This window comes from Homo sapiens, chromosome 8 (genome assembly GCF_000001405.40).
Source record: "Homo sapiens chromosome 8, GRCh38.p14 Primary Assembly".
Taxonomy (NCBI): Eukaryota; Metazoa; Chordata; class Mammalia; order Primates; family Hominidae; genus Homo; species Homo sapiens.
This window is the reverse complement of record NC_000008.11, coordinates 25,343,409-25,362,745: the sequence shown is the minus strand read 5'-3', so window position 1 is coordinate 25,362,745 and position 19,337 is coordinate 25,343,409. Positions and strand designations below refer to the sequence as shown.

Below are 19,337 nucleotides of genomic sequence, written 5' to 3'. Positions count from 1 at the left end.
GGAAGGAGGGTTGGGTGTAGTGGCTTACACCTGTAATCTCAGCACTTTGGGAGGCCGAGGTGGGCAGCTTGGCCAACATAGTGAAATCCCATCTCTACTAAAAATACAAAAATTTGCCGGGCATGGTGGTGTATGCCTGTAGTCCCAGCTACTCGGGAGGCTGAGGCAGGGGAATCGCTTGAACCCAGGAGGCAGAGGTTGCAGTGAGCCAAGATTGTGCCATTGCACTCCAGCCTGGGCAGCAGAGTGAGACTCTATCTCAAAAAAAAAAAAAAAAAAAAAAGAAAAGAAAAGAAAAGAAAAGAAAAAAGGAAAAAAAGAAAGTGGGAAGGAGAAGAGCTGGATGAGAACTTGGAGCTTTGGACCCCAAGTTTGCAACCCTTATCTCTTTCTTCCTCTGCTGCCACAGGTTGTCAGAATGTATCTCATGCACTTAAACATAATTCACCAACAATTGTGGGGAAATGGATACTTTTAATAGATTTCAGTTCAATTCTCCTTTATTATGGTTAGAAAAGGACACAGTGATACACACAAGAAGCAGAATCACCACTCTTCCTGCGCCAGGGACGTTATCATGTGCAGCCTGGAAGAAAGGTCCTAAACGGTCCTTCAAAATGGATCGTAACAGTGGCTGGTGATGACTAATAACTAATCACTTAAGCATACAGAGCTCTTCTGCTCCAAAGGGGGCTGTGAGCAAAAACTAATTCAGAAATAGAACAATCAGAGTTGAAATCAAAGCTAAAATGTTTTGAAGGCATTTTTATTAGTTAGCTAAATTTAGACCTTTTCCACTGGGATTCTTGAAAGTCCTGTCCAGTTTCTCTGGCACTAACCTACACAGTTCTGCCTGGACACAGTATGTGAGAGACAGGAGGCCCAGGTCCTATTGCTAACCATATTTTTCTGAGATGCTGGTCAAGCTGGGTAACTTCCTATACTTTGGATGCTGAACGGCATGGGGAATGACTCTCCCTGGCCGGCCAGTGTGTGTGTGCAACTGTGGATTCTCCCCTGGTTTTATGGCGAGTTAGACATACCCACCCTCAGTTCTGAAATCCTAGACATAATTAATGAATTCAAATTCGTTTCATCATATATTTTATTTACTTATTTATTTATTTATTTCGAGATGGAGTCTTGCTTTGTCGCCCAGGCTGGAGTGCAGCGGCACAATCTCGACTTACTGCAACCTCCACCTCACGGGTTCAAGCGATTCTGCTGCCTCAGCCACCCCAGGAGCTGGGATTACGGGTGTCTGCCATCACCCCTGGGTAATTATTTTTTGTATTTTTAGTAGAGATGGGGTTTCATCACGTGGGCTAGGCTGGTCTCGAACTCCTGACTTCCAGTGATCCACCTGCCTCAGCCTCCCAAAGTGCTGAGATTACAGGCATGAGTCACCACATCCGGCCTCATTATATATTTTAAGTGCTTCCACCAATTTATTGGCCATTCTGTTAACTTTTCTTCTAAATCCATAAGAATTCATGGTTTGTGAAGCAAGGATTGAATTTAGATACTTGTTATTTGCTTCAGATACAGACTCTCTATTTAACTCCTGGAAATCTAAATTAATGAGACGGCATGATGGAACTCACAGGGAATCCCAAAGCCTGGTTTTATCCACCACTTCCCAAGGGCCTTCATGCGGTTCACTCAGAAGGCAGCATGAGGGACTGAAAGGCCACTGGGAGGCAAAGGCCTAGCTGTGCACGGTAGCTCAGCCACCGGGGACTAAATTCAGGCAAGTTCCCTCATTTCTCCAGGTCTTAGTTCCCTCGTGAGGATAATGATCCTCTTTTAATTACATAATACAGCTGGAGGAGCTCAACACCATGCTGGCAAACAGGAGGTACGCCCCTTTTTTTCTTACTTAACAATGGAGCCAAATTGTCACGGTTTGACCTTAAAACCTCCCTATTTTGCCTGCTCTCTGAAGGAAATTTGAAACAAAATCCCTAGAATTTTTATTGTTAATTTTACTTTATATAGCAATAATAATACAATTATTGTTACAAACAGCTAGTCCTCATAGGCATTAGCTACATGCCTACCTGCACGAAGCTGGGCATTTCCCATGCATGGAGCCAAGCAACACTTAATTAACCCTCAAGGTGGGTACTATCTTACAGATGAGGAGACTGAAGTTCAGTGAGGTTAAACCGCTTGCCCCAAATTGCATACAAGGGAGTGGAATGGTCAGAATTCAAACCCAGAGCTGCGTGTTCTAAGGCCTGTGCTCTTACCCGCTACACCACCTGCCTGTAGAGAACACATGGCTAACCTTGGGCTTCCTCCTCCACCCCCCACCCCCCATACTGGGCCTCTTGCGCCTGGTCTCCACAGGCACATCTACATATTGCTATGGTTCCCATGCCATGCTGCCTGCCAGGGTATGGCCCAAGCAGAGGCTCATGGAGACCTTCAGCTAAAGCCACGTAGTCTAACACGGCATTGAGAGTCCACCATGGAACCAACTAATAATAACAAACAGCACTTTCCTTCCAATTCCTTGTATGTTTGTCCACCATGTGGGCATGGCAGAAAGGTGGGTAATGGGCAAGGAAGGAGCTGCGAATCCATGGGGGCACTGGCCATCTACTCAGCATGACAGAGGCAGAAAGTGGAAAATCTAGAACAAAGAGACTGGAGTACGCACAGATGATGGGAAGTTATCCAAAGACTAGTGTCAACATGACAACAGTGTGCTAATCCAGCGGCACATCCTGTCCACTGCTCTGCAAAGTCTAATAACACCTTCATGGACGTCTGAAGGGCCACTAATAATCCCCTGAAGGGAAGGTGCCGTGAAGCCACAGCCGGAGGCCTAACTCAGCTTCTTAGATGAGTGCTTCACAGCAACTATGAGAACAATTTTCCTGCTTAAAACAATAGAGAACAAAATATTTTCATCTGAAGATAACTTACAAATATTGTAAAGCAGGAGTCCCCAACCTTTTTGGCACCAGGGACAGGTTTCAGGAAAGACAATTTTTCCACGGATGGGGGCAGGAATGGTTTTGGGATGAAACTGTTCCACCTCAGATCATCAGGCATTAGTGAGATTCACATAAGGAGCTGGCAACCTAGATTCCTCGAATGTGCAGTTCACAATAGGATTCAGCTCCTATGAGAATCTAATGCCTCTGCTGATCTGACAGGAGGCGGAGCTCAGGAGTTAATGCTTGCTGGCCTGCTGCTCATGTCCTGCTGTGCGGCCAGGTTCCTAACAGGCCACACGGACCAGTTGTAAAGGGCAGGGATTACCTCTTTTTGTTGCCCTCTCCAAAATGATGGTATCAACCACGTCTTAGGAGACTTTGCACACCCCTGCCTTCTAAAATCCTTGCCATGAGTAGTTACTGTACCAAGTATTAAGTCCTGTTTTCAGAGCAAAAAACATCTCCCAAATGTTGCTAAATAAGGGCTCTCTCTAAATCCAAGAGAGATTAAAGTGTGTGATAACCTCTTGGTATATGTGTTGTACTCTTTTTCAAATCCTATCAAAGAGAGAAAGTAGGAATCAGCTCTCTCCTTTCTGTAATCACTGTGGACAGCCACATAGCACCGGAGGTGCGTGGGAAGAGAACCCTGGACTCACGATGCTCAGCTTCAGTCATTTTTTTAAACCAAATTTAAGAAGTCTTCAGGTTACCAGGACCAGTAAAGGCAACTTACGATGATGTCTTGTCTGGTTTTGAAAGTGCTGATGTAGTGGCTATAGTGGCTGTCGTCCATTTGCTGCAGCAGGGCAATCATGCAAGCCACAAAACTCCCCTGGAAGGAAAAGGAAAGCACAAATCCAAGACTCCTTAGACCACCAACTGACAAAAACACTATGTGAGCCCCATGAACTTGGCTTTTCCCACCCACTGAGCCACGCAGGTATCCCACCACACTGGAAACACGCTGCATTCTAAAGGTCCAAAGGCCACGTGCTTTGCGGTTTCTGCTTCAAACCACCTCCTTCCAGGTCTGAGTGAAGAAATCTCATTAACAGCTAAGAAGTGTGGAATCCTATAGACAGGACACCTCAATGAGATTACCAGTGAAGATGTAACAACTTGTGGGGCTTTGGGTTTCTTGTTGAGACAGAGCTGTAGTATAGAATTCCATGGAGAAATGTCTGAAATACTTAGATTAGTTAAACAAATCTTAACGGGGAGGAAGGCTAGCAGGAAAAGAGGTGGCAACACTGAGCATGAAGGAGAGGAGGGCAAGCGATGATGATGAAAACTCCCTGCTAGAATACCTGTGATATGCTTTGGCTGTGTCCCCACCCAAATCTCATCTTGAATTGTAGTTCCCATTATCCCCATGTGTTGTGGGAGGGGCCCAGTGGGAGGTAATTTAATCATGGGAACGGTTACACTCATGCTAGTCTCGTGATAGTGAGTGAGTTCTCACGAGATCTGATGGTTTTACAAGGGGTTTTCCTCCTTTTTGCTTGGCACTTCTTGCTGCCGCCATGTGATGAAGGACGTTTGCTTCCTCTTCTGCCATGATTGTAGGTTTCCTGAGGCCTCCCCAGCCATGCTGAACTGTGAGTCAATTAAACCTCTTTCCTCTATAAACTACCCAATTTATAAACTACCCAGTCTCAGGTATGTCTTTATTAGCAGCATGAGAACGGACTAATACAACCTGATACCGCTTCTCCAACTCCAGAGCCCTTCAGCCAGTTGTTCCAACATACTACCCACGTGAATTGTGACCCTGACTTGAAGAGAAAAAATCAATAACTAGATGATTCATTAACACTGCTTCCATTTGTGAGTTCAGGAATTACATATTCAAGGTGCTATCCCCTAGACCAAAAAAATGTGAATTATAGACTTAGTTTTTTAGACAGGGAGTAAAGATCCAGGGGTGCTAACCTCCTGTATTCATGCAGCTATGAAAATAACACAAAGGAATTTAGCACAGGACAGATGAACATACAGCTGTTTCTAAAACAGAGGGAAAGATTCCCCAAGCAGAACAATGAAAGACTGTCCATGTCTATCTCTTTCTGAACGTATGCCTTAGACTGTCTCTTTTGTTTTAAAAAGTTTATTTTTTAGGCCTGGTGGGGTGGTTCACACCTGTAATCCCAGCACTTTGGGAGGCCAAGGTGGGCGGATCACTTGAGGTCAGGAGTTTGAGACCAGTCTGGCCAACATGGTGAAACCCCATCTCTATTAAAAATACAAAAATTAGCCAGGCATGGTGGTGGGCACCTATAATCCCAGCTACTCGGGAGGCTGAGGCAGGAAAATTGCTTGAACCTGGGAGGCAGAGACGCAGTGAGCCGAGATTCTGCCACTGCACTCCAGCCTGGGTGACAGAGCCAGAGCCTGTCTCAAAAAAAAAAAAAAAAAAAAAAAGTTTATTTTTTCAATTATAAAGCAGTATAAACTTATTGTACTAAGGCCTTTGATATATATATATTGCCAAATTATCATATAGCTTGTTTTCCCAACGGTGTCTAACACAATTTGTTTCTCCAAGACCTTGCCTATTCTGAGTATTAGAGGTTTAATACTCAGAATTTAACACTGAGGTTTAATACTCAGAGGTTTAATCTCACTTTGCACTTTCATTTCCTTTTCTCTAAATTAAACAGTCTGTCCATGAACTTTTTGGCCATTTAGCTTTCTCATGTTGCTGTTTGCACCCATTCTTTACTCATTTTTCTACTAAAACAATATCTTTGCTTAGTGGCTTATAATAGCTTTTGTATATTAAGTTTATTAGCCACCTGTCACCTATATTACAAAATTTTTAAAGCTTGGGACTTGACATTTAATTTGCATATATATATATATATATATATATATATATATATATATAATCTTCATATAGAGGGATTTAAAATTTTATCTAGTAAAATTGTTTTCTTGTATTTTAACTATAAAAAATCCATGAATCCTATTCCTCCTCAAATCAGTTATCTATTTATTATTTTATTCTAGTGCTTTATGATACAACTTTTTTTAATTGAACACTTCACTCTGACATTTATTTTGTGGGTATAGCATGAAGTTGAACAAATTTTTTCCAAATTGTTAACTAATTTTCTTTTTCTTTCTTTGAGACAGGGTCTCGTTCTGTCACTCAGGCTACAGTGCAGTGGCGATCATGGCTGACTGTAGCCTCGACTTCCCTGGGGCTCAAGCGATCCTCACATCTTAGCCTCCTGAGTAGCTGGGATTACAGGCGCATGTCACCATGCCTGGCTAATTTTTGTGTATTTTTTTTAAGACAGGGTCTTGCCATGTTTCTCAGGCTGGTCTCCAACTCCTGGGATCAAGCAATCTGCTAGGTTCAGCCTCCCGAAGTGCTAGGATCACAGGCATGAGCCACCGCACCCAGCCCCAAATTGTTAACTAATTTTCTAAATAACATTTACTAAAAACCTTCATTTTCCCTTTAGAAAGGTAATGAAATGTTCATATAATCCAAAGTCTCCTTTTCACTTATCATGGTTCTGTTCTGCTGATATGTGTCCACTAAGTCTGACAGGCAAGCTCTCCATTATTATGTATTTTTTGTTTTTTTCGAGACGGAGTCTCGCTCTGTCACCAGGCTGGAGTGCAGTGGCGCGATCTCAGCTCACTGAAAGCTCTGCCTCCGGGGTTCAAGTGATTCCCCCTGCCTCAGCCTCCCAATAGCTCGGACTACAGCCATGCATCACCACAACTGGCTATTTTTTTTTTTTTTTTGTATTTTAATAGAGACGGGGTTTCACCATATTGGCCAGGATGGTCTCGATCTCCTGACCTCATGATCTGCCCGCCTCAGCCTCCCAAAGTGCAGGGATTACAGGCGTGAGCCACCATGCCAGGCCCCATTATTATTTCTATTTGGCTATTTATTTGTAACTAGTATTTATTTTTACTCTGATATTTTTGTGACTAAATTAAATAGAATTTCTTATTTATAATCTCTAAATAGCTTCCATTGTTAAAGAACAGGCATTAAATATCATTTATTTTAAAACAGGTTAGAGGCTGGGTGCAGTGGCTCATGCCTGTAATCCCAGCACTTTAGGATGCTAAGGCGGGTGGATCATTTGAGGTCAGGAGATCAAGACTAGCCCGGCCAACATGGCAAAACCTCGTCTCTGCTAAAAATACAAAAATTAGCTGGGTGTCAGGGCACACACTTGTAACCCCAGCTATTTGGGAGGCTGAGGTAGGACAATCACTTGAACCTGGGAGGTGGAGGTCGCAGTGAGCCGAGATAGCACCCCTGCACTCCAGCCTGGCTGACAGAGTGACACCCTGTCTCAAAACAAAATAAATAAACAGGTTAGTTTAATAAATTGTTTATTAGTTTTACTAAAATTTGAGTAAACCCTCTTGGGTTTTGTAGATATGCTGGTCATTTCAGCTAAAAATAATGACAATTATTTTTACTTTTACAATATTTATGTTTAGTATCTTTTTCTTATTACATTGGCTAGAAATTATAGAAAAAGCTAAACAACAGTGTTGAAATTAAATACCTTTTTTTTTCTAAATAGAGACAGGTTCTCATTCTGTCACCCAGGCTGAAGCACAGTGGCACCTTCACAGCTCACTGCAGCCTCAATTTCCTGAGTTCAAGCAAGCCTCCTGCCTCATCCTCCTAAGCAGCTGGGGCTACAGGCACATGCTGCCATGCCTGGCTAACTTTTAATTTTTTTGTAGAGACAGGGTCTTGCTATGTTGCCCACACTAGTCTCAAACTCCTGGCTTTAAGCAATACTCCTGCCTCAGCCTCCCAAAGTGCTGGGATTACAGGTGTGAGCCATTGTGCTTGGCCTAAATATCTTGATTCCCTTTTTTAACGACCATTGAGTATCATGATGCCTGGTGATTTCACGCTAAAAAGTTCCCTCCTCTTCTTGATTTGGGAAAAAATGTAACAATAATCAGATACCATTTTGGCATCTATGAAGAAAATTATAAGGCTTTTTTCCTTTTATTGAATTGATGTTATTTTATAAATGTATTTCCTAATATTTAACCATTCTTGAATATCTGGAATAAACTGTATCAAGCCATGTAGATTTTCTTTTTCCACATCTCTCTTCGCGACTGTCTGTGTCTGTCTGTACATTTTCCCCTCACTTTTTTTCCTTCTTATGCTTATCATTCCCACTTCACTTTGCTTCTTTTGGCACCGCCATCACTCCGTGGATCTAAGTCATTCCCACTCTCATTTCATGTTAGCGGAAGCACGGCGGGAGTACTGCTGCCTTTACATCCAGTCCTGCCCTTCCCTTCAAACATATGGAGCTGATGTCCTTGAGTGAGTTTAAACAAGGGAGACAACATGCAATTTGATTCCTAAAAGGAGCTCAGGAAATTTGAATTCAAGTATGTAATTATCTATAGCCAATATATCATTTCCCATATCAATCTTTCTTTATAATGTATGATAGAAATGGCTTGGCAATAGCAATTAATGGTACATTGTCTTTTCTTAAATTTCACAAAATATGTAAAATACTCTAAAAGTATATCAGTTTTAGCATAACGCAATGTTCTTCAATCCTGTTTTTTTCCATCTTGATCTGCTAAATTGCACTCCATCTGTTAGTAATTTCAGTAAATTATAAAGGGATTAGTGAAGCAATGCTGTTAAAACATGCCCAACTTTTAAACATATAAAACATATAAGTGATTTGACTAGTTTTCTCTCCTACGTTTTTTTTTTTGTTTGTTTTTTTTTTTTTTTTTTTTTAAGACAAAGTCTCACTCTGTCACCCAGGGTGGAGTGCAGTGGCGTGACCTTGGCTCATTGCAACCTCAACCTCCACCTCTTGGGTTTAAACAATTCTCCTACCTCAGCCTCCGGAGTAGCTGGGGTTACAGATGTGTCACCACACCTGGCTAACTTTTGTATATTTAGTAGAGACAGAGTTTCACCATGTTGGCCAGGCTGGTCTCGAACTCCTGACCTCAGGTGATCTGCCCGCCTCAGCCTTCCAAAGTGCTGATATTACAGGCATGAGCCACCGCACCCAGCTTCCTAAGTCATTCTTACCCTTCAATAGTCAATGGGTGGAAAAGACAGATCAGTTAAGCTATAGATTTTATTTTTGCACAAGTGATTAACAGCAATATTATCAGGGCCTAGAAATAAAAAGTAATTGATAGATTTTAGGTTTTATTCCCTCTTTCTGTTGGTAAAAAAAAAAATAGTATTTCCTTGCCAACAATCTGACTGTTCTAAAGATAAAAGCCTTGATTTTACATGAGGAATTCTCCAATTTCCATATTAGTCTTTGTTCCCTCAGATACTTCCTTGAGAAAAAGATGTAGGACTAGTCTAGTTAACTGATAATCCACTAATACAAGATCTAAATCCTTTTATAATATGTTTTGGATGAGCTTGGATTTTTATTTTATTTTGTTTTATTTTATATTTTGAAACAGGGTCTTACTCAGTCACCCAGGCTGAAGTGCAATGGCGAGATCATAGCTCATTGCAGCCTTGATCTCCTGGGTTCAAGCGATCCTCCTGCCTCAGCCTCCAGAGTAGCTGGGCGTACAGGCACTAATCACTGCACCTGGCTAATTTTTTAAAAAATTTTTGTAGAGATGGGGTCTTGCTGTGTTGCCCAGGCCAGTCTCGAACTCCTCGGCTCAGAGATTGGGTTTTAATCCAGCAGAAAGACAGTTTTACTTGCAATCGTTTCTCTTTATTCTTATTAGGATCAGCTCCATCACCCTACAGGTTCTGACCAGGCATGTCTTAGGGTTTCTGCTATGGCTGTGGCCTCTCCCTGGAAGACCCTTCCCAGATAGCCACATGGCTCACTCCCTTACCTTCCTCAAGTTTTTACCCAAATTTTACCCTCTCTGGTAAAATTCCTAATCATCTTATTTAAAGGTGTGACTCCCCACCCTCACTTCCCTTATCCTGCTCATTTTTTTTCTCTCTAGCCCCTGTTGCCTCCTAACACTATGTAGTTTATTTTGCTGTAACTGCTGTCATTATTGTTGGAATGTCAGCTCCTCAAAGGCAGTGATTTTTCTGTTTTGTTTATGGGTACCTCTTCAGTGTCCAGAGCAGTGCCTGTTTTATGGCAGTTTTTAAATACGTATTTGTGAAATAAATGAATTTTTCTTATCTGATAGGAATTTGAAATAGTTCTTTTCCTATGTCCTCTAATTAAAATCTAATTCGATTTTAATATAGGAAGCTTTTAATATAGGAAGTAAAAGATGCTTCACTTTAATGATGACACCACTTAGCCTTTCAACAGCTACCTATGGCCTCTATCATAGTTGTTACCCGGCATCTGTTTAGATAGAGTGCACAGAAAATAAGAGGCCAGACCAACAATGGCCTTTCCACAAGCATGCTAACCACAGGTTCTTTAAAATGTTTGGTTTCTTCCTTGAATCAAAGGGGCTGGGTGGTTCATACTGGATCATTTTCTTTCTTTTCTCTTTTCTTCTTTTCTCTCCTTTTTTCCTTCCTTCCTTCCTCCCTCCCTCCCTCCCTCCCTTCCCTCCCTGCTTGCTGCTTTTTTTTTTTTTTTCTTTTTCAAAGGCAGGCTATTGCTCTGTTGTCCAGGCTAGGATGCAATGGTGCAATCACAGCTCACTGCAGCCTCGACATCTCACGTTTAAGTGATCCTCCCACCTTAGCCTCCTGAGTAGCTGCAACCACAGGCACGTGCCACCACCACACCCAGCTAATTTTTTAAATTTTTTGTAGGGATGGGGTCTCACTATATTGCCTAGGCTGGATTATTTTCTCTCAACAGAAAATCCATGTCAGAATCAAGATCTGCTAAGGTTATAACCAATGACCCATGATGTGAGAGGCCCATGTGAAGAATAGTCTCAAGCCACTGGCCCCGAAGGCCTCCCGATAGGCAAAGGGGACAGAGAAACAGCAGCGGCCGTGGGATCCAACAAAGAGATACTCACGATGTGGGGAGACTGCCGGTTCATCCCAATCACTGTCCGGTTGATCCTTCTCAGCAGCCGTTCCATTATAAGCTGAATGTGCACCGCAGTGGCACCCTGCAGGGAACACAGGATTTGACTCCATTCCTTCTGACTCAGTTTCACTTTCTTTAAGGAACCTCAGATAGATGAGTTTTGTCTTTAGATCTCTTTTTGGCTTTTCCCTACAAAGCAATCTCTTGTCCAAAAGTGGAAAATGGTCTCACAGAATAATATATAACTTTATGAAGAAAATAGTTGAAAATGATCAGTCATAACACTTAAAAGATGAATGTGGCTGTGCAGGGATGAGTGCCTTCTTAATAACTCAGATTGCTCAGGTTCACTGAGAGCTCACTGTGGCCACTGACTCAACAAATAGTTTTGGGGGACCCCCATTAGCATGACGTATTCTGTTCTGAGGTTGAGCAGATTAGAATCGCTCAGGTCAGGCCAGGTGCGGTGGCTCACGCCTGTAATCCCAGCACTTTGGGAGGCTGAGGCGGGCGGATTACAAGGTCAGGAGTTCGAGACCATCCTGGCTAATACAGTGAAACCCCGTCTCTACTAAAAAATACAAAACATTAGCCGGGCGTGGTGGCGGGCATCTGTAGTCCCAGCTAATCGGGAGGCTGAGGCAGGAGAATGGCGGGAACCCAGGAGGTGGAGCTTGCAGTGAGCTGAGATCACGCCACTGCACTCCAGCCTGGGTGACAGAGCCAGACTCCATCTCAAAAAAATAAAAATAAAAATAAAAATAAAAGAATTGCTCAGGTCAATTAGGCACATGTGTGGGAAATTAAAGGCAAAAATACAAAGCTCTTACCACCTTCTGTGTTGGAGGGAAAAAAACAAGAAATTCAAGTCAAGGGAATTGTTATGGAGTAAATGTTTGTGTCTCCTCCAGATTCATATGTGAAGCCCTAACCCCCATCGTGATGGTATTAGGAGATGCAGCTCTTGAGATGTAATGAAGGTTAGATGAGGTCATGAGGGTGGGGCCCTGGACTGACGGGATAAATGCTCTTAGTAAATGAGTATCACAGATGTGGATCTCTCTCTCCACCAGGTGAGCACACAGCAAGAAGGTAGCTGTCTGCAAGCTGGGAAGAGAGACCTAACCAAAACTTAACCACGCTGGCACCCTGATCTCAGAAACTCAGTCTCCAGAACTGTGAGAAAATAAATGTCTGTTGTTTAAGCCACGCAGTCTGTGGTATTTTGTTATAGAAGACTGACTGAGCAGACTAATACAAGGATTTTGTATTCTGACTGTGTCATGTGTGACTTTGAGCAATTATTCAACTTCGCTGAGCTTGCAGTTTTCATAGCTGCAAAAGGGGGACAGTAACAGTTTTCTTATTGGAATTAGTAGGGCTGATGTACACATTCTTTCTTTCACCTTCTTTCCTTTTTTGTAGCTAGATATTACCCTCATTTGGCTCCGACTTACCCACATGCAACTTGACTTTTCATAGCCTCTATCTGTCCTTGCTTTATGATAGATACTTTGAAACTCCTGCTTAATGCTTCAAATAACTAAATCATTGCTATTTGTATTTTTTTGCTTAACATTTTTATTATCTTTTACAAATTTAACTGGCAAAGACTGTACTTATCCAGCGTGTACAACATGAAGATTTGATCCACGTAATCGTGTAATGATTTCCACGGTCAAATTAACACATCTATTGCCACCCATGCCATACATTAGATTCCCAGAACTTGCTCATCCTATAACCGACACTTTCTACCCTTTGATCAACATCTCCCCATCCTGCCCCTGGTAAAGAATGTTCTACTCTCTGCTTCTAGGAGTCTAACTTTTTTAGATTCCACATAGAAGTCAGATCAGGTAGGATTTGTCTATGGCTGTAGGAATTTTCTTTTTGATTTCAATAGTTTTGGGGGTACGAGTGGTTTCTGGTTACATGGATGAGTTCTTTATTGGTGATTCTGAGATTTTTGTTTACCCATCACCCAAGCAGTGTACACTGTACCCAATGCGTAGTCTTTTATCGCTCACCCACCTCTTAGCCTTTCCCCGGAAAGTCCACAAAGTCCATAATATCACTCTTAAGCCTTTGCATTCTCATAGCTTAGCTCCCACTTATAAGTGAGAACATATAATATTTGATTTTCCATTCTTGAGTTACTTCACTTAGAATAATGGCCTCCATCTCCACCTAAGTTATTGCAAAAGACATTATTTTGTTCCTTTTTATGAGTGAGTAATATTCCATGATGCATATATACCACACTTTATCCACTCATTGGTCAATGGACACTTAGATGGGTTTCATATCTTTGCTATTGCAAATTGTGCTGCTATAAACATGCACGTGCATGTATCTTTTTCATATAATGACTTATTTTCCTTTGGGTAGATGCCCAGGAGTGGAATTGCTGGATTGAATGGTACTTCTACTTTTAGTTCTTTAAACATGTTTCATAGTTGTCATACTAATAATTTGCATTCCCTGTTTTTCATAGTCTGTTTTTCATAGTTTTTCATACTGTTTTTCATAGTCGTCGTACTAATAATTTGCATTCCCCCAGCAGTGTAACAATGTTCCCCTTTCACCACGTCTATGCCCACATCTATTGTTTTTTGACTTCTCAATTATGGTATGGCTATATGTATTTTAATTACAGTATCAAGTACCTGGGGTCCACCCTCCCTCTCTGCTTCCCTCTGTCCCTTCTTCTCTTCCTCCTTCACTTTTTATTAGTCATTTACTTGTTTCCCATTTCCCTGAATGAAAGTGATTCATAAAATCAGCCTCTCCAGGAGATGCTGCTTTCACTTCCATTTACATAACATTTCCTTAGTGTGGCCCTAAATAGTTGTGCAAGTTACACGCTGTGCCTTGTGGGGAGGGTATGAAATGAATAAGGCTCCTCTGAGCCTTTAGAGATTTCTATTGTGGGGGTGCGGGTGAGTGGTACATAAATTTTTTTTTTTTTTTTTGAGACAGAGTCTCGCTCTGTTGCCCAAGCTGGAGTGCAGTGGTGTGATCTTGGCTCACTGCAACCTCTGCCTCCCGGGTTCAAGTGATTCTCCCGCCTCAGCCTCCAGAGTAGCTGGGGTTACAGGTGCGCACCACCACGCCCAGCTAATTTTTGTATTTTTAGTAGAGATGGGGTTTTATCATGTTGGTCAGGCTGGTCTCGAACTCCTGATCTCGTGATCTACCTGTCTCAGCCTCCCAAAGTGCTGGGATTACAGGCCTGAGCCACTGCACCCAGCTGGGACATACATTTAAATAAGCATAACACAAGAATCTCCCTAGAAGGTGGGCTCCTGGGGGTAGGGTGCTTGCTTCTCTAGTTCACTGTCATAGCCCTAGCTGATCCCAGTGCCTGGAGCATAAGAGCAGCTTCCCAAGGATTTGTGAGCTGCATTCCTAACTCAATGTACAAAGTGATAAAATCCTCAAAAGAAACTCAAAGGGAGCATGAAAAGAATGAGTAGAATTTGGCAGGACCACACCAGAGACAACTTCACAGAGGTGCTTACTGCAGCTGGACTTGAAAGAACCAGGACAATTCCAAAACAGAGCTGTGGGGAGAGGAGGGAATCCTGCAATGTTTAAAAAAATAAAACAAAAGGCAGGAAGAACAAATATCAGTAATTAGAGCTTTGAGTTAACTAAGGAGATGAGAGGATAAGAGAAGAGATATTGAACTAGTGCACATATTTCAAAATGTTTATGAAGAAAAAAAGGTACCATCATGATGGACAAAAAACGATTGGACTTACTACTTTACCAGAGCTCCAAGATCGATAATTTTGAATGTCTCTGCTCATTACAGGGAACATAATATTGGGAATACCAAAATAAAAAGCTAACTTAAATCTCCTTGCACAGGATTTAAATACATTCAAGTCATTTCCAAAGAGTCTTTCTGGGTGGTGAGAAGGTTGGTAGAGATGTGATGTATTAAACAATAGGGTCAGAAGTGGAAGAGACTAAAGAGGTCGTCTAGAACAATTCCTACATACAATGGACTGGGTTAGGAGACTGAGGCACTGAGATATTTGACTAAGGACAAATAGCTGCAGAGTGGTAATATTGGGACTAGAATCCAATGCTCTGATTCTTGTGTTTTACATTAACTTTGGATCATAAACATATGATTTCTAGAACACTGATCCCTGGCTAAACCAATGTGCCAGGTACATTGCTGCCAAATTTATAGGGCGTGGAGCTTTACTTTATTATTTTAAGGAATTATTGAATTATAAGAGTTACTTTTAAAAAAGTATTGAGTTTATGACGTGATTGGTCACATTTACGTATTTGGTGCAAAGTCCTTGGTTAGGAACCAAATCTCCAATCGCAACATGCTTTGAGAAAATGTATTCCATTTTATAATGTGGTTTCTATAAACATACTTAATGAAAAAAAGGGGGAATGATCTATAATGAATAAATATCAAGTAAGCAGTGCAAAGAGTAAGTGGGCTACAGGGGCTTAGGGAAGTGGAGGGACAGAGATTGGCGGAGCAGCTAGAGATGGCAATGGTACCCTCACATACTTCTGAGGCTGCAATGTGGATTCACAGAAATGTAGACATCCCAGTGCAAACCATGAGCAGGAGAAAAGGTGGGCTGTAGTCAAACGGTGGTGGACCCTGACAAGTGAACTAACGGTTTAGCTATGGGAAAAGGTGTAGTATTCATATCCTTTGGTAGGACAGAATCCCAAGATACTGGAAAGATAAAGACTTTAGGTGATGACAAAGAGTGGTTTTCCTGTTCTGTGGGAACACCTGTGCCATGAAACCACCATAGACGTGGTAACTATAATTTGTGGTAAGATGCTTTTTTTTTCTCAGCCCTCAACTGTTCGAGTGAACACATTCTGCAAAGTTCTCCAGCTTCCTGTGTGGGGGCTCTGCTAGGCCTGTGGGCTGCACTATTTCTAGGACATGGTGAATCCAGACAGGTTCAGCCCTATGTTTTCTTTTTTTTTTTTTTGGAGTTGGAGTCTCAATCTATTACCCAGGCTGGAGTGCAGTGGCACAATCTTGGCTCACTGCAACCTCCGCCTCCCAGGTTCAAGGGATTCTCCTGCCTCGGCCTCCCGAGTAGCTGGGACTATAGGCGCGTGCCACCACGCCCAGCTAATTTTGGTATTTTTAGTAGAGACAGGGTTTCACTGTGTTAGCCAGGATGGTCTCGATCTCCTGACCTCGTGATCCATCCACCTCGGCCTCCCAAAGTGCTGGGGTTACAGGCGTGAGCCACCACGCCCGGCCTTAGCCCTGTGTTTTCAAGAGGGATGGGGGCCAGGTCACAGAGAAAACGCAAGATGAGAAAACATAATTTCCATTAGGTTCCAGAGAAAGTATCAGTGTCCAAGAGGATATGGAAATGAGAACTTCTCAGCAGCTCAGAAATATCAGGTTGTTAGGCATCAGAGGATAAGAAGGAAGAGGTGTCTGCATAAAAACAGAAAGGCCTTTGATTCTTTATTTTTTATTATTATTATTATTTTTTAGAGAGACAAAGTCTTACTAAGTTGCCCAGGCTGGTCAGTCTTGAACTCCTGGACTCAAGTGATCCTCCTGACTTGGCCTCCCAAAGTGCTGGGATTACAGGCCTGAGCCACCATGCCCAGTCAGGTCTTTGATTCTTAAGAATAGTCACAGGGGCTGGGCGCGATGGCTCATGCCTGTAATCCCACCACTTTGGGAGGCCGAGATGGGTGGATCACGAGGTCAGGAGATCGAGACTATCCTGGCTAACACAGTGAAACCCCGTCTCTACTAAAAATACAAAAAAATTAGCCGGGCGTGGTGGCGGGCGCCTGTAGTCCCAGCTACTCGGGAGGCTGGGACAGGAGAATGGCGTGAACCCGGGAGGCGGAGCTTGCAGTGAGCCGAGATCGCGCCACTGCACTCCAGCCTGGGCGACAGAGCGAGACTCCCTCTCAAAAAAAAAAAGTCACAGGGATCTCAATAGTGCGCACACTGGGCAAGCCAGGAAAATCAGCCTGCAGAAGGCCCCAGCAGTAATCTGACTTTGCACTGGAGGCTCTGGCCTCCCTAATTATCTCTAAAATGGGCACAGCCTGCCCTAATACCGGAGCTGGAAACTACCTGAGAATAGGAAGGCCACGGAGTCACTCCTGTCTGGTGCAAAGGGGACAGTGTGAACTCTGTGCAGCATCAGTGATGACTCAACTCACCACATCCTTCCTGTCCAGCACCTCCAGGATGTTGCTCAGAAGCTGCGAGCTTGCCTCGTGGTCAGGCTTGTTGGAGTTGTCATCTAACTGGCCGCTGAGCTGGTCTGTCAGCAGTGGCAGCAGCACTTCTCTGCACTCTGAGAAGGAAAACACAGACAGCTCACACACAGCAGTGCCACCTCCTGAACTGCCTGTCTCCTTCCTGCAACTCTTCCTCGACCAGTACCAGTAGCTCTAAGCTCTGCAATCAGCCCTGCAGGGATGCAGCCCCTCCAGGCCACCCAGGAACACCTGGTTTTAGGCACGGAACTTTACCCTTGTTCAATGCGCAGATGAATGAATTAAAAAAAAAAAAAATGACCCTTCTCACAGGTGAAGGTGGGAACTTAGCAAAATGTTTAAATTATTTAACAATTTCTCTAGCTTTTCAAAACGCCAACCTAATGCACGAAATTGAGGGTCATATGAAACAAATAAAACCAAGCAAGTTATACATTTTTTTTTTCAAAAATTTTTTCACCTAATGGAGAAAATTTACTGAAAGAAGTTCCTATAAATAAAGTTCCTATAAATACTGAGCTTCCCTAGTACATGTCAATGACATTCTGCTCATGTCTGTGCAGGCGTGTGGATTTCAGAAAGTAAGGTATGACCTATTATGTCTTCTGAGATCTTTGCTATTGTAACACATTTTATAATGAGTTCAGGTACTCTGAATGCTACAGAAATGACTGTTAACCGTGATCACACTCTAAGTAGAACTATCCAGTGCATGCTTGCTCTTCTGCTCAAACACCTTATCTTTACTATCTCAATTACCTTTTCTGTATCCTTAAAAAGTGATCAAAGCATATTAAAATGTTTAGTAATAATTTGCTTTAGTAATAAATGTTTTCTACTTATGAGCATTCACTAACCTTTTGCAGGCATTACCTCTACCTCCAATTGTGTCTTAGGAACATTTGCAATTTCAAAGTGCAAATTCATAGGGTCAGAAAATATCAGAGCCCAAGGAGGCTACTGATACGATCTAGCTCAAGTCCTTCCTTCCACAGAACTGGAGGCTGAGACTTAGAGAAGGCCACTCATTTGTCCAGTTACATAACTAGCCAGGGGCAAAGCCAGGAAGGCTCTCCCACCAACAATCCACTCAACTTGTTTAACGTTGAGGAGTCCTGCTGGTCTTCAGATCTCCAGGCAATATACATACATAAAATGAGGTTACACTCTGGGAGCCCCTGACCAGGTAGTTAGCCCCAGAAGAAGTCTCCGTGGCTGCCTCACTCTAGCAAGTCTTGAGTTTATTGGGAAGGCCCAGGTGCTGGACCTCCTGTTTATATCAGCTTTGGGACAGAAACACTTGGTGGCTATTTGCTAGACTCTACTTACAAAATGAAAAGTATTTTATCAGTGTAAGAGTTTTTCCCCTCCATGCCCCACTCCTCTCCCAGCAGAATACTAGTAATCTGGCTTCTGCCAGCCTACCCCCTAAAGAAAACAGCTTGGCCAGGTGCAGTGGCTCATGCCTATAATCCCAGCACTCTGGGAGGCCAAGGTGGGTGGATCACCTGAGGTCAGGAGCTTGAGACAAGCTGGCCAACATGGTGAAACCCTGGCTTTACTAAGATTACAAAAAAAATTAGCTGGGCATGGTGGTGCACACCTGTAATCCCAGCTACTTGGGAGGCTGAGGCAGGAGAATTGCTTGAACCTGGGAGGTGGAGGTTGCAGTGAGCCAAGTTCATGCTGCTGCATTCCAGCCTGGGCGAAAGAGTGAGACTCCATCTCAAAACAAAACAAAACAAAAAAACGCTTGCTTTATCATGTTTGCCAGTTACCCTGGTGTAAAGACTTCCACCATGGTCAATTTCCAGCTACTAATGTGATATCACTGAACGTGGGGTTGAGAAGGGATGCATGTAACCAGCTCTCCTGTGGGATCCAACACATTGCTGTTTCCCTGTCCCCTGGTTTTTAAGGTCATGCAATAAGTATAGACTAAAGAAGAATAATTTCTTTTAAAAGGGTCATCTTTTCCTACTTGCTTGTTACTTCCTGAGGTTCCTGTTTTAAAGACAAAATTCTCTAATTAATGAACCACTTGCAGATTGTTCTAATTAAAGATTAAGGAACACATGATTTTGCTCTTTTAGGAACTGTTGGAAATACCGAGCTGACTTTAGATTCTCCTTAAAACCGCTCT

At 42.7% G+C, this 19,337-nt stretch overlaps 1 protein-coding gene, 1 long non-coding RNA gene and 1 other non-coding gene across 3 annotated transcripts in view, besides 4 other annotated features; 1 reads left to right on the top strand and 2 right to left on the bottom strand.

The window, feature by feature from the left end:
• The window catches only part of DOCK5 (dedicator of cytokinesis 5), a 231,023-nt gene that overhangs the window by 52,966 nt on the left and 158,720 nt on the right, over positions 1 to 19,337 (bottom strand). Inside the window, exons 26-28 of the mRNA NM_024940.8 lie at positions 17,135 to 17,271; positions 10,920 to 11,015; positions 3,685 to 3,783 (exon numbers count right to left, since the gene is read on the bottom strand). Coding sequence (NP_079216.4) covers positions 3,685 to 3,783; positions 10,920 to 11,015; positions 17,135 to 17,271 — 332 coding nt within the window. The remainder of the gene's footprint in view (positions 1 to 3,684; positions 3,784 to 10,919; positions 11,016 to 17,134; positions 17,272 to 19,337) is intronic.
• LOC105379331 (uncharacterized) lies at positions 1,234 to 12,138 on the top strand. Its single transcript, NR_159962.1, has 2 exons — positions 1,234 to 1,277; positions 12,007 to 12,138. It is a non-coding gene; the product is annotated as an uncharacterized LOC105379331 (long non-coding RNA).
• Positions 1,808 to 2,415: an enhancer, noted in NCBI's record as "NANOG-H3K27ac-H3K4me1 hESC enhancer chr8:25217847-25218454 (GRCh37/hg19 assembly coordinates)". NCBI's record gives its function as "activates a minimal SCP1, AML or CMV promoter by ChIP-STARR-seq in naive H9 embryonic stem cells {active_cell/tissue: H9 hESC(naive)}" and the evidence as "EXISTENCE:reporter gene assay evidence [ECO:0000049][PMID:30033119]".
• Positions 2,416 to 3,025: an enhancer, noted in NCBI's record as "NANOG-H3K27ac-H3K4me1 hESC enhancer chr8:25217237-25217846 (GRCh37/hg19 assembly coordinates)". NCBI's record gives its function as "activates a minimal SCP1, AML or CMV promoter by ChIP-STARR-seq in naive H9 embryonic stem cells {active_cell/tissue: H9 hESC(naive)}" and the evidence as "EXISTENCE:reporter gene assay evidence [ECO:0000049][PMID:30033119]".
• Positions 17,059 to 17,353: an enhancer, noted in NCBI's record as "tiled region #6380; HepG2 Activating DNase unmatched - State 17:Gen3', and K562 Activating DNase unmatched - State 20:ReprD". NCBI's record gives its function as "activates a minimal TATA promoter and a strong SV40 promoter by Sharpr-MPRA in HepG2 and K562 cells {active_cell/tissue: HepG2 | K562}" and the evidence as "EXISTENCE:reporter gene assay evidence [ECO:0000049][PMID:27701403]".
• On the bottom strand, positions 17,272 to 17,344 carry MIR6876 (microRNA 6876). Its single transcript, NR_106936.1, has one exon. It is a non-coding gene; the product is annotated as a microRNA 6876 (primary transcript).
• Positions 17,336 to 17,395: an enhancer, noted in NCBI's record as "active region_27123". NCBI's record gives its function as "activates an Ori minimal core promoter by ATAC-STARR-seq in GM12878 lymphoblastoid cells {active_cell/tissue: GM12878}" and the evidence as "EXISTENCE:reporter gene assay evidence [ECO:0000049][PMID:35858748]".